General features: G+C 37.3%; 1 protein-coding gene across 31 annotated transcripts in view, besides 1 other annotated feature; it reads left to right on the forward strand.

Annotated features, from left to right (window-relative positions):
• Positions 1–13,823, forward strand: part of TENM3 (teneurin transmembrane protein 3) — a 1,355,412-nt gene that overhangs the window by 1,014,708 nt on the left and 326,881 nt on the right. The gene's annotated exons all lie outside the window — the stretch shown is intronic.
• Positions 3,544–3,713: an enhancer, noted in NCBI's record as "experimental_76678 CRE fragment used in MPRA reporter constructs". NCBI's record gives its function as "activates a minimal promoter by MPRAs in K562 erythroleukemia cells, with activity observed for both the introgressed and non-introgressed 4:183387102 variant alleles {active_cell/tissue: K562}" and the evidence as "EXISTENCE:reporter gene assay evidence [ECO:0000049][PMID:34662402]".

The following is a 13,823-nucleotide window of genomic DNA, read 5'->3' on the forward strand; positions in this document are numbered from 1 at the left end:
AGTGCTGGGATTACAGGCATGAGCCACTGCTCCCGGCCTAGGATCTTAATAGGTTGCTTTTATCTACAGACTTAATGGGTTGAATTGTTTATTGTTACTTTTTTCAGATGGTAAATCCCAGGTCAGAGACTGTCTTCTGCTTGTTTTATTTTTCAGCAGCCCTCCTCTCTGAACAGCCGCACTCAGAACGCCTTTGAGTGCAGAAGCTGGTTGACTGATTGCCCAGCCTCCAAGTCTGTCTTTTAGTTCAAGTTCTTATGGCATTACAAATATGTAGTTAAAACTGTTTTTGTCAGATTGGTAAAGGACCACTTAAATTTACTTGATATGGCCAGGTGGACGGATCACCTGAGGTCAGGAGTTGGCGACCAGGCTGGCCAACATGGTGAAACCCTGACTCTACTAAAAATACAAAAATTAGCTGGGTGTGGTGGTGGGCGCCTGTGATCCCAGCTACTTGGAAGGCTGAGGCAGGAGAATCACTAGAACCTGGGAGGCAGAGGTTGCAGTGAGCTGAGACCGCACCACCGCACTCCAGCCTGAGTGACAGGGTGAGACTCCATCTCAAAAAAAAAAGGAAAAATTTACTTGATAATTTTGTAATACTGATCACTCTGTATAGGCAGGGCATTGGTTCCAGGACTCCCCTCCTCCTACACCAAAATCCATGTATACTAAAGGCCTGCAGTCATCCTACACAACCCACATCTAGTCAGCCCTCCCCGTGTGCAGGTTCTGCATCCCATAATTTTGATCTGCGTTTGGTTGAAACAATCCTCGTGTACATGGTCCCAGCTGGTTCAAGCCTGTGTTGTTCAAGGGTCAACCGTAGTTGAAACAAATAGAAAAATGAAAATTTTAATTTTTTTAAGCTCTCTACTGAAAGTAATAGTCTTGTGAGCCTAAATTATTTATCATTTTGCAACTTAAAAGAAAAAAAAAACTCGGTGTTACTCTGTTTGATTCTGTGAGATCACCTTGAAATAAGATACCACGTAATGAGAACTATTGTGTGAAACCACTACAAAAACTGTGAGATGGCCACTGTCATTTATTGTGTAGATTTTACCTAGTAAGATCATTAGTCAGTGTGTTGCTTTATTTCAGTAGGAAAGTGCAATGGGTGCAATACTTTAGACCATGTAGTATCACTTTTTTTTTTTTTCTTGAGATGGAATCTCACTCTGTCGCCCAGGCTGGAGTGCAGTGGTGCGATCTCTGCTCACTGCAAACTCCACCTCCCGAGTTCAAGCGATTCGAATCAAGTAGCTGGGATTACAGGCGCCTGCCACTGCGCCTGGCTAATTTTTTTTTTTTTTTGAGACAGAGTTTTGCTCTTGCTGCCCAGGCTGGAGTGCAGTGGCGCAATCTCGGCTCACCGCAACCTCGGCCTCCTGGGTTCAAGTGATTCTCCTGCCTCAGCCTTCCGAGTAGCTGGGATTACAGGCATGCGCCACCATGCCCAGCTAATTTTGTATTTTTAGTAAATATGGGGTTTCTCCATGTTGGTCAGGCTGGTCTCGAACTCCGACCTCAGGTGATCCACCCGCCTCGGCCTCCCAAGGTGCTGAGATTACAGGTGTGAGCCACCGTGCCCAGCCGTAGTATCACTTTTGTGTGTATTTTGTTATAATTTCTTTCCCTGAAAAAAAACTATTCATTAAATGTAACAGAGGCTCTTATTAAGATTAATACAATAGTAAGGAATAAATGCTCTTAAATAGACCAAGAAATTGCTACACTTTTATAAACATATATAATTGTTCATGAATCATTAACCTTTAAATTTAGAGATGTTTCCCTCACAGTTGAAAGGAGAAAAGCTAAAAATACTGTATTAATGATATAGTGACTTTCTCTACAATATGAACTATTCAGCTATGAGTCAAAGAAGTCGATATTATTATAACTTATCAGATTTAACATTAAAAAATTATACAGTACTTCTTTTTTTGAGACAGAATCTCACTCTGTCACCCAGGCTAGAGTGCAGTGGTGCAATCTTGGCTCACTGCAACCTCCGCCTCCCGGGTTCAAGTGATTCTCCTGACTCAGCCTCCCGAGTAGCTGGGATTACAGTCGCCTGCTGCCATGTCCAGCTAATTTTTGTATTTTTAGTAGAGACAGGGTTTCACCATGTTGGCCAGCCTGGTCTCCAACTCCTGACCTCAGGTGATCCGCCCATCTCTGCCTCCCAAAGTGCTGGGATTACAGGCGTGAGCCACCACGCCAGGCCTGTTACAATACTTTTAATCTCAAAATGAATTAAAAATACTAGAGTATGAACTAGGTTTATATTAAATATGACAGTAATATGTAGTTCTAGAAGGTATCGATTTAGTATTTTAAAGGTTATGAAGTTACAAAATAAAAATTTTTAGGCTTTTCATGCTATGGAAAGAGATGATATCAGAGAAATATGTTTATGTTTTCTGTGAGATAGGTTTTGTGAGAGAACCATAGTTCTGTATTGTACTGGTTTTTACTTATAACCTATTACCTTATAAACTGTTGTTTTGTACATAATAAATAAGACTAATAAAATTTTTTTGCTTATTCAATTAGAAGGTTTTTAAATATGTCCCTTCTCACCCCCTAATGATCAGTATTCCCTTCCTGTGTTCATTCTTTTGATGTTTACTGCTGAATTAACCAGGTTTTTGTCTTTAAAGGTTCTTTGGCATATTATAGAAACAACTTCTGTGATAATGTCATTGAGGTACTTTTTGCAGAGTGGGGCAAGGGAAGGGTATGTTGATTAATAACTCTTAGGAGAGTTGCATAAAATATTTTCTCAACCTATTGAAGTTAGTTTCTAGTAATGTCTTTCTTAAGGAAAGAGTTTGAGCACAGTAAAATAAATATTTGCACTGGGTTTATATAAATTACTAAGATCAAACATTAAAATGGTCAGAATGCTTGTGTCCTCCTAAAATTTGTATGTTGAAACCTAATCCTCACTGGGAGGGTATGAGGAGCTTGGAACCTTGGGAGGTGATTAGGTCCCGAGGACTTCAGGAAGGGGACTGGTCCATGATGAAAAAGGAGGCTCCTTTGCCCCGGCTGCTGTGTGGAGGGAGACTCAGGGAGCACACGGCTGTGTCTGAATGAGGAAACATGCCTTAGTAGACACTGAATCTCCTGGCACCTTGAACGTGGATTTCCAGCCCGTTAGAACTGTGAGATAAAAATTTCTGTTGTTTGTAACCCACCCCGTTTATGGAATTTTTTTTATAGCGGCCGGATCTAAAATATGGGGCAAATAAATAAATGATTTTACCAAAGTCTTAGGGAATTAGAATACTCCCCCCAGCTATTTATAAAAAAAGTATACTGCTAGAGTCTTCAATTCAATTTAATAAGTATTTACTGAGTACCTACTATGTTTCTGACATCGGTGCTTTATTATTAATAATATAAGATACAGGAAATTCACTACTAACCATATACACTGTTGTAAGAAAGTAAAAGCAACAGTTTTTATAATACTGTAACTCATATAATTTAATAAATATTGACCAGTTGCATATAAAATAAAATGTCTTTAAAGTTTTTTTAGTTTTAACATTTTTATTGAGAATGTTTTCTTCTATTTTTTTAATATAAGAGGCCAAAGTACACCCAAGTCTCATTTCTCTATTAAGCTTGACTAAACATAGATAAACCTGAACTATTATTGAAGGCTGAAACCAAAGTACGTTATGGTTTATTAGGCTGTTAGGCTGATGGATTAGTTTAAACCTCAATGTAAATCACCAAAGAATACATGAAGACAAAACAAAAGCACTGTATGGGTGCAAGAAAGATGTAATTCTTCATTCACTGGGTTTTTATGCATTTAAGGGTATGATTGTTCCCTAGGGCTCCCATAATGAATTGCTCAGTCTGAGTGGCTTAAAACAACAGAATTGTAGTCTCTCACAGTTTTAGAGGCTAGACATCCAAAATCAAGGTGTTGACACAGCCATGCTTCCTCTGAATACTCTAGGGAAGAATCCTCCCCTGCTTTTTCCAACTTCTGGTTGCCCAGACATTCTTTGGCTTGTACCTGCATCATTTTACCTCCATTTTCATGTGGACTTCTTTCTTCTGTGTCTCTGTGAGGCTCAGGTGATCCTCCCACCTCAGCCTCCCAGGTAGCTGGGACTGCAGGTGTGTGCCACCATGCCTGGCTAATTTTTTTTATATTTTTTGTGGAGGTGGGGTCTCCCTATATTGCTGAGGCTGGTCTTGACTCCTGGGCTCAAGCGATCCTCCTGCCTTGGCCTCCCAAAGTGCTGGGATTACAGGTGTGAGCCAGTTTCCAGCCTCTGCGTGTCCATTTATCTTATAAGAACCCTGTCTTTGGATTTAGAGCTGCTCTAATCCAGAATGACCTCATCTTAACCAATTATACGCCAAGGACCATATTTCCAAATAAGGTCACATTCCGAGCTTCTTGGTGGCCATGAATTTTGAGGGCACGCTTTCCAACTTACTACAGAGGAAAAGGATACAAGAAGGTAAAAAAATGCTTCTCTTTGCTGTCTTCAGTTTTTTTTTTTTTTCCTTTCCCATTCCTTAGGGGGTTTAGATACGTTAGAATTGAGCATTCTTGCCTTCACACTCCTATTCTTTAAAGATATTTTATCTGCCAAAACTGACTTATGTTTCTTTTCTCCCAAGAGTCTCACATTATGGGAAGTGCTAGTAAGCCAGCCATAGAATTTTGAATGTTTGCTATTCAATCATAGGGGAAATTAAAATTTAGTTTTTATGCTTTTTTTATTTCAGAATTTTAAAAACTAGAAACAAAAATTCTGGAGACTGCCATACTCTAGTTGTGGCACTCAAAATGTAGTTATAAACCTTCTGGTGGTAAATTAAGCATCTTAGAGTATCCTAGTCATTAGTTATAATAAACTTTATGTGAGTATGGTCTGTTGCCTCAATTTCTCTTTAAGGTTTAAACTTACAAACTTTTTAATGTAAAAGAGAAATGATATAAGTGAACTTTATGATTGTCAACAAAGCTGATTTGTAATTTATTTTGAAAATTATCTTTGGCTTTCAGTTTTAAGTGGCAAAACTGATACCATAAATACCAAAACTGATATCCATAAATATACATAAAGCATATTTTGATAAACACATGACGTATTTATCTGTAAGAATGAAGGGATATCTAGGCCAGGAATTTCAAGAGGTTTGTCATCATTTTTCAAGACAATAAATGATATCCTGGGATCTAAAGTGTTATGTTCCCGAGGAATGATGCATGAGATCCTTTTCTGAGAGCAGCTATTGGTTAATTAGATATGGGAAAGCCCTTTCAGAGAAGTGGACTTAAGGAGGCCACAGAGAAGAGAAGAGCCTCAGGCACACACTGTGTCTGGCCTACAACTCCACTTTGGGTCACCCCTGCCAGTAGGAGAGTCTATATATGAACTATAATGACATGGAATATAGTTTAAACCCATCTTTATGAACACGCACCCTGTAAAGATCCAATCTGGTAATTAGAGTGTTAGAGTGGTTTATGCCTTTTTAGGGGAGCAGGATAGAGGTGGAGGATGGGAAGGGGTTCTAAATCAGGGACTTCAATCTGATATTTTGTAGTGTTTGTAAATGGGTGTCATCTACTGAGATTCCTCATTCAGGCATAAGAGAATGTCCTCCTTTCCTCAGGTTGCACAGGAAGAGGAGAAAGAATGGGTGATGATCTTACCTATGAAACTTAAATTCATAATAATATGAATAGGCATTACATTTATGAAAACCTTTTGCCAGTTTAAAAATGTTTTAGGCCGGGCCTGGTGGCTCATGCCTGTAATCCCAGCACTTGGGGAGTCTGAGGTGGGAGGATCGCTTGAGCCCAGGAGTTTGAGACCAACCTGGGTAATGTAGGGGAGACTGTCTCTACAAAAAAATGCAAACTATTAAAAAGGCATTACATAACAAAAGTTACTTTGTTAACTTGTTTTTATACAAAATTAGGATGCTCCGTATATTTGACAGTGGTCAGATTTCCGCTGTGGGTGGGGCTGTGTGGTTTAAGCTCAAGGTAAGGTATATATGCTGTGCTGGATGCCAGAAGACATGAGTCCTGATCTGTGCTCAGCTACCAACTACATGACTTGGGCTGGATAACAAAACCCTAACAGACGCCTCAAAGACCTTCAAAAGCAATGGTTTGGATTTTTTTTAGTTCTGAAATTCTTCCGTTATCCTTTTATTTAAACTAACACATAACATCTGCATTTCAGGTGTCTGTTAGTATTGATCAGAATTGTATTGTTTGTCTACTACTACCTGGAAATGTTCCTGATGATGAAAATAAAACATTCCCTTGTTATGATCTGCTTTTTTGGTTCTGTTGATTTGTTTAGCAGAATAGCAGCTTGGCATCATACTACTTTTAGGAGACTTTCCTTCAATACTATGTTAGGCTCTGTACCCATAAGTTCTTTCATTATTTTTCAGGAGTCTTCAAGTAAATTGAAAATAAAAAAAATCCTGTGTGCTTGTGTGTGTGTGTGTGTGTGTGTGTGTGTGTGTGTGTGTGTGTGTGTATGTGCATGTTGATTAGGCTATTAACATCGTGTCTTCTTTTTTCCAATACTAATAATCACTAATTTATCTATATTTTGAACTATTGGCCAGTTACTCTGAGTTAAAGAAAAAATTAATCTCTATATGGATTTAAAACAAAGATCAGTAAATCAATGACGATGAGATGATTTTAGGATCTTTTTTACTTAGCCAGAAGGGTCATCAACTGATTTTTGAAAGTTATGTTTGTTTGTGCATCTCCAATGGAAACATTATTTGTGATTAGTTTATTTTTATTCTTAAGTATTCTTGATAAGCATCTGAATGTCTGCCTGAATGAATTTGAAAAACTAAAACAAGCTGAGATTTAATGTCTCTGTTTTAGTGTTAGTCTCTGCTATCATATGCCCCAATTTCATAATTTTATTGTAATAAAATTAAAGCATTAATTGCTGCATTTTTAGTTCACGTAATTCATATTTCATATATTAAAGTTCAGAAGAGTTATTTGTAACTCTAGATAGAGAAGGACTTAACCAAGATCTTGAGGAAATGAAGACCCAAAGAAGTGAAGAGATTTAGGCCAAGCACGGTGGCTCATGCTTGCAGTCCCAACACTTTGGGAGGCTGAGGCAGGCATATCACTTGAGGTCAGGAGTTCAAGACCAGCCTGGCCAACATGGCGAAACCCTGTCTCAACTAAAAATGCAAAATGAGCCGGGCATGGTGGCGCTCACCTGTAGTCCCAGGTACTCAGGAGGCTGAGGCAAGAGAATTGCTTGAACCTGGGAGGCGGAGGTTGCAGTGAGCAGAGATCATGCCACTGCACTCCAGCTTGGGCAACAGAGCGAGACTCTGTCTCAAAAAAAAAAAAAAAAGAGAACTGGAAGCCAGCTTTCTGGATGCTTAACCAGTATTCTCTCCATTATACCAATAGTTTGTTAAAATAATGGCATTTGCTTTAGAGAAATTCAAGTAGCTTTCTGGTCTGTGTGATATCTATGTAAAATCCTGTTTTATAACATAAATGTAAACAGTGATTTTAATGATATTTTTTTCTGTTGTCTCAGATATCCCAGGACATCTGGAAGAGTTCCTATAAATTTTAGTTTTTTAATTACAAAATATCCAGCGGGGACAGGGCCATTTTAGAAATGAGTAATGAAATCATAGAGTTAGAAAGAATCCCAAGTGACCGTGAATGCTAACTTGTCCCTTGGGTAAGGTCATCATTTAAAAAAGTACGAAACCATTTTATATGCTGTAGAAACTGGCTTCGTAATGGGCCCCTAAAGTCATTTATCTGTTTGTACTGTCCTAAGCAAGTCATTTATTAACTAGTGAAAATAATATGTAAGTGTTCTGTTGTAAATGTGATGATCAAAAACTATAGTAAACAGAGAAAGGCAACCCCTAATTTATGTAAACCTGTATTTTAGAAGTTTGTTTATAATTCAGAAAGTATTTTCTCACAATATCTTAGTTTCCCAGGGTAATCCATACATTCTATTTAACCCCGTTTAACATATGAATGATAAGAAGGACCATCCCGAAATTCTTGTTCTCAATTCTAGTTCTGAATGCCAAGAACACAGCTCCTTTGGTTAAGCATCTGGACTTCAACCTGACCACTTGCACTAGACCATAGAATAGGATGTATGTAGAATTTCAAAATGAGGAAAGGAGAGGGAAAAACATACATTAATGGCTGCTAAGAGAAGAGAAAAGGGTCATATCCTTGGTTACTCTTTGCCAAAAATAAAAATAAAACACATTGTAAGGACCACCATGCTTTTGAGCTCCTGTAGACACCAGGCAAGGATTTGCCATAGGACATTTGTGTCAGTTAGGGTGTATCCATTATGTAGAAAGCTCTAAAACTTCACCATGGGAATGTGGGAATGGGTCTGTTCTGAGACCTTTTCAATGTTGTAAGTCATTAGAGAACTAGCCTCAAACCAAAACTCTCCATGATTCCCAGGTAAATTGCAACACATTTAGTTGCATAGCTCTGAAACTTTTCCATTTGAATACAACAATTACCGGGTGTTCAGGAAATTAGATTTGTTGCAATATTTTAAGTGATTTAAATGAAGATCAGTATTATTTTTTAGTATAGAAATCTTCTAGTAACAGAGTTTACCACGTCCGTCAATGTGAATACAATTATATTTGCCTCGAATTTTATTTGCATTTGTTTTTCTGCCTATTTTCTTGTGGAAATTTTAATGAGCAGTGAAATGACCAAAAGCTGGGCCACGGAGAGGAAAATAAAGATAATCTAAAACATGTTTAATTATCCTCAGCATAATACACACTTCACTGTAATAGGGATAATGCAAGAACATTCAGATTATCTAAACACATTTAAAAATGGCCTTCCAGTGTTAGGAGCATAAGTATGCCACTATGAATTGTGTGTGTATGATGAACTTTCTTACACAGTCATGTGTTGCCTAAAGACATGGATGCAGTCTAAGAAAATCTCATTGTTAGGTGATGTCATTGTAGTGCTACGATCACTGAGTGTACTTACACAAACCAAGATGGTATAGCCTACTGCATACTTAGGCTGTATGGTATAGCCTGTTACTCCTAGGCTGCAAACCTGTACAGCAGAGTACTCTACTGAATACCTTAGGCAGTTGTAGCACAATGGTATGTATTGGTGTATCTAAGCAGAAAAGATACAGTAAAAATATAATATTACAATCTTATGAGACCAGCATCATCATATATGTGGTTCATCATTGAAATGTTATGTGGCACATGCCTCTGTGTGTGTGTGTGTGTGTGTGTGTAAGTATATGTTTATAACATGTATAAATGCTTTTACTTATAAAGTAATTATATTATAAAATAAACATGTCATGAAATAGTGTACTTAAGAAATAATCCGAGGTGAATAGATTATTTAAGCACTATTCCTTAGGATAGCACAGTACATCATATGTCTTATTCACCTGTTTTCTTAAAAATTGTATTCAGAAGTCAACTTTTATTTTAAAACCTCATTAAATCATCCTTATAAGCAAAGGTAATTAAGATGGTGTCATTTCATTTTAGTGAGTTATAGTTCTCTGGACTCTCCCTCTGTCACTGTTTCCAATTAGAATTTCTCTAAAAGTTACAAGAGTAGTTAATTTTAATTACTAAAAATACCTAGGGGGAAATTTGTTGAGTGGACTCTTGAATTTCAAGGGATTTTTGTCTTGCAAGTAAATTATAGAGCAGAGGCTATAAATTAGTTCTCCATTCTTTTTAGACCTTGAACTTTTTATTATTCTGCCTAAATGTAACTGTAACTTCCATTTTCTCATCTTAAAATTTGCAAATTTATGTTCTCTATATTTCTTTCATGATTAGCAAGAGGTCTCTGTCTTACATATTTTTTGAACCTTACTTTCTCAATTTACTAATTTGTAATTTCTACTCTAATCTTTATTAATCCCCTTCTTTTTCTTAGACATAATTATGGCTATTAATATGCTGCTAAATGCAACTTTGTCCCCATTCCATGTGTAGGTGTTCTTTTTAAAATTGTTCTGTGTACATTTTGTGATTGAATATTTGATTTTCTAGACATTTTGATTTTTACTATTTAAAACTTTCTAGGTTTAATTCATTGATAACAGAAAATGTGGCTTGGATATGTAAGCTTTTTAAAGATTTGTAAGGGTTTTCTTTGCCTCTTACATAGTGATCTTCAAACTTTTTGCTTACATACTCACTAAAAGAATTTGATGAACTCAATACCCTCCTACACATTTTAAAGTTGAAGTCAAATACTTTTCATCACAAGTAAAAATAATTGCAAAGGATTAATTTCCAGTGTATGACAAATATTGATATTTTAAATAAATTGTTATATCACAATTTTTTTTTAAGAGAGTCTCGTTCTGTTGCTAGGCTGGAGTGCAATGGCATGATCATAGCTCATTACAGCTTTGACCTCCTGGGATCAAGCTATCCTCTCACCTCAGCCTCCCAAGTAGCTAGGACTAAAGGTGCATGCCATCATGCCCGGTTAATTGTATCATTTTGTTGTTGTTGTGGAGACAGAGTCTTGCTATGTTGTTCAGGCTGGTCTGGAACTGCTGGCCTCTATTATATCATGACTATTCAGTGTCCATTGATAATTATAAACAAATACTATATGCTCTTCCAATCGGATGCTCACCATCAGGTATTTATTAATAATTTACGAAACTCCTCAACACTAGAATATTTTACATTATTTCTTCTCTTTGAAATTTGTATTTTCATTCCACATTTCCTGGAATATTTTAATATAATATACCTTTATTCTTGAAATTCCTTTATTGTTCAACTTACTGTACCCTTCTGCAACAAATGCAGCCATATATATATTTGGAAAATGTCTATGGCTTCAAGGTCCTAAGAGATAGAAACAAAGATCTTCTTTGAATTTCAGAAACAAATGCTCTTCTTTGAGTTCCAAATACTGTTATAATCTGTACACACTTGATCCAAAACCAAACATGTACGCTCTAATAAAAAATTATTGTTTATAAAAACTGGCCGGGTGCCGTGGCTCATGCCTGTAATCCCAGCACTTTGGGAGGCCAAGGCGGGTGGATCACGAAGTCAGGAGATCGAGACCATGCTGGCTAACACAGTGAAACCCCGTCTCTACTAAAAATACAAAAAATTAGCCAGGCGTGGTGGCGGGTGCCTGTAGTCCCAGCTACTCGGGAGGCTGAGGCAAGTGAATGGCGTGAACTAGGGAGGCGGAGCTTGCAGTGAGCCGAGATCGCGCCGCTGCACTCCAGCCTGGGCGACAGAGCGAGACTTCATCTAAAAAAAAATAAAATAAAATAAAAAATTTGTGGCCAGGCACTGTGGCTCCGCAATTTTGGAGGCCGAGGTGGGAGGATTGCTTAAGGCCAGGGGTTTGGGCAACATATGAGACCCTGTCTCTACAAAAAATAAGAATATTAGCAAGGTATGTTGGCACCACCTGTAGTCCCAGCTACTCTGGAGGCTGAGGCTGGAGGATAGCTTGAACTCAGGAGTTCAAGGTTGCAGTGAGCTATGATTGTGCCACTGCACTCCAGCCTGGGCCACAAAGTGAGACCCTGTCTCCAAAAATAATTTTAAATATAAATAAATAAAATTGTATTGGAAATGTATCTCCTGATGAGATGAGGTGGTAATTATAATTGTTCGTGGCTCTTTGATTTGCTGCTCTAGAATGGGCATTGCCTCATGGTAAGTTTCTAGGTAGATGAGAAAAGAAGCTCTTCTGTAGGTACCAGATCAGCCAAGTCAATATAAGGGCCTGAAATGAATTCCTTTGCAACTGTTCAGGCTTACCTACCCCTTAGAAATTTTTTACTCACAGGATTATAGATACCATGGCTTGAAGACCACTGGTCTAATAGATGGTACATTTTTATGTATGATCATATTATGATTATTAATGCACTTGAAAATATTCTTATTTGTAGGCATCAGCATTTGCTCTCTATGCATTCAACCATATTTAAATGTATGATTTAGATGAGTGAGTGTAATTCAGCTAGGGCACTATTTAGCATTGTGGATGGGATAATTCCTCTTTTTGAGAAACTGTCTCTTATATTTTAGGGACATCACTTAGTCTAAGTATCCTTAGAGGCTAACAGACATTGTGGCAACTCAAAAACTTCACACCCCGTTTCCAGACATTCTCAGGCAATGAGAACTGTCCCAGATTGAAAATTACCGACATAAATCCCAAACATCCTTTTTAAGCCTGTTTGCTTCTTTAGAGGTTTAAAAGACCTGTTAAACTGTTTTGTTTCTGTTCTTTGTGTGCATATTTCTTACTGTTTTGCTTTATTGACACATAGAGTTCATGCCTATTATATTTTCATTGTAGGCTGTAACCTTAATATATATCCTTTTTTATCTAAGTGAATGCTTTCTTCTATCATAATTCTATTTTATTTGATATTAATATTGTATCCCCTTCTTTTTAATTGAACTTACCTGGTTTATGTGTGCCTCTAGCTTTGCATTTAACCTTCCCATTATCGCTGCTCCCTAATGCTGTTGTCCTCTTGTGCATAATGGTTGCAAGTCACATTGTCCCATCTCTCTGAGACCTACTCGTATCTACACACTTCAGCTCTTCAAAAGAGTTGATGTTAGTCATGCTTCATTAAAATTTCCCCCATATAAGTCCTCTGAACTGCAAGGGCTTCTGAAGATGGGCAGTGCACACTTATTGGAGGTACCTTCCTTCCACTAGTCACAACTGCTGTGGATCCAGCAGAAATTCCTCACTATTTCTGGAATAGGAGGACTCCTTTAGTGGTAGGTTACCCCCTGGTTTGGTATCTTTAAGTCGTTTCATTTCATATTAGAACGGAAGACTGTTAGATGCCTATGCCTAAGTTGCCGTCTTATTTGAAAGTTGGTTATTTTTTAAAAAATTATTCTTTTTAAAATATATCAGTGATTATCAAATTATGTAAATACAAAACTGGTCGTGGAATGGAGAATGGGTGTGTCTACTATTGGTGTATATTACTTATTTAAAACTGATCAATTTTTTTTTTTCTGGGTCAGTTTTGTGAAAGTGTAACTTACTCAACAGAATGACTTGATGGAAGTTGTAGTGAACAAATCATATCATTGATGACGGGGGTGTGTTTTTATATGCCTAATAATGTTAGACTGAAATGCCATAATACTAGAGGAAATTTAGAAAGCATTTTGTAGCTCTTAAAAGATTGATACTTTGGTAGCTTGCATTATTAGAAACCAGAACATCTATCTGCATACATATACATACTTCTTTATTCAGTTCATAAATTTAACTTGTGAAAATGACAAGTAGTAGCAAGCTCACACTCGGGATTTAATCTTCACTGACTAATTCATCAGACATTTTACCTTTCTGTAGTCACAGATGGTTTTAATGTCTGTCTGTATTGAACAATCACTCAGATGTGTCCATCTTCGTCTTTATTGGATAAATAATAATTCAGTATCCCTCAAGTGACTATGATAATTGGATTCCAGAAGAGAATTCAAGGCTTCTAGGTACTATCATATTCAAAATTTGATCTCTGTGTTCCAGTCTCTCTCGTACATTTGAATATTTTCCAGCTTAAGTGGAATATATGGGACAGTAGTATTTTGTGTAAATTACTTAGAATAGATTTTGTAGAGAAGCCCTAAGTGTAACCTCTTTGCTTTTTAAAAATGGCATTTGCCATTCCAAAGTAAGTCCCTGGTGGTGTTACTTGACTCATTCCAAAATGACCTACACTTGATTAAGT

This window comes from Homo sapiens, chromosome 4 (assembly GCF_000001405.40).
Source record: "Homo sapiens chromosome 4, GRCh38.p14 Primary Assembly".
NCBI classification, from domain to species: Eukaryota; Metazoa; Chordata; class Mammalia; order Primates; family Hominidae; genus Homo; species Homo sapiens.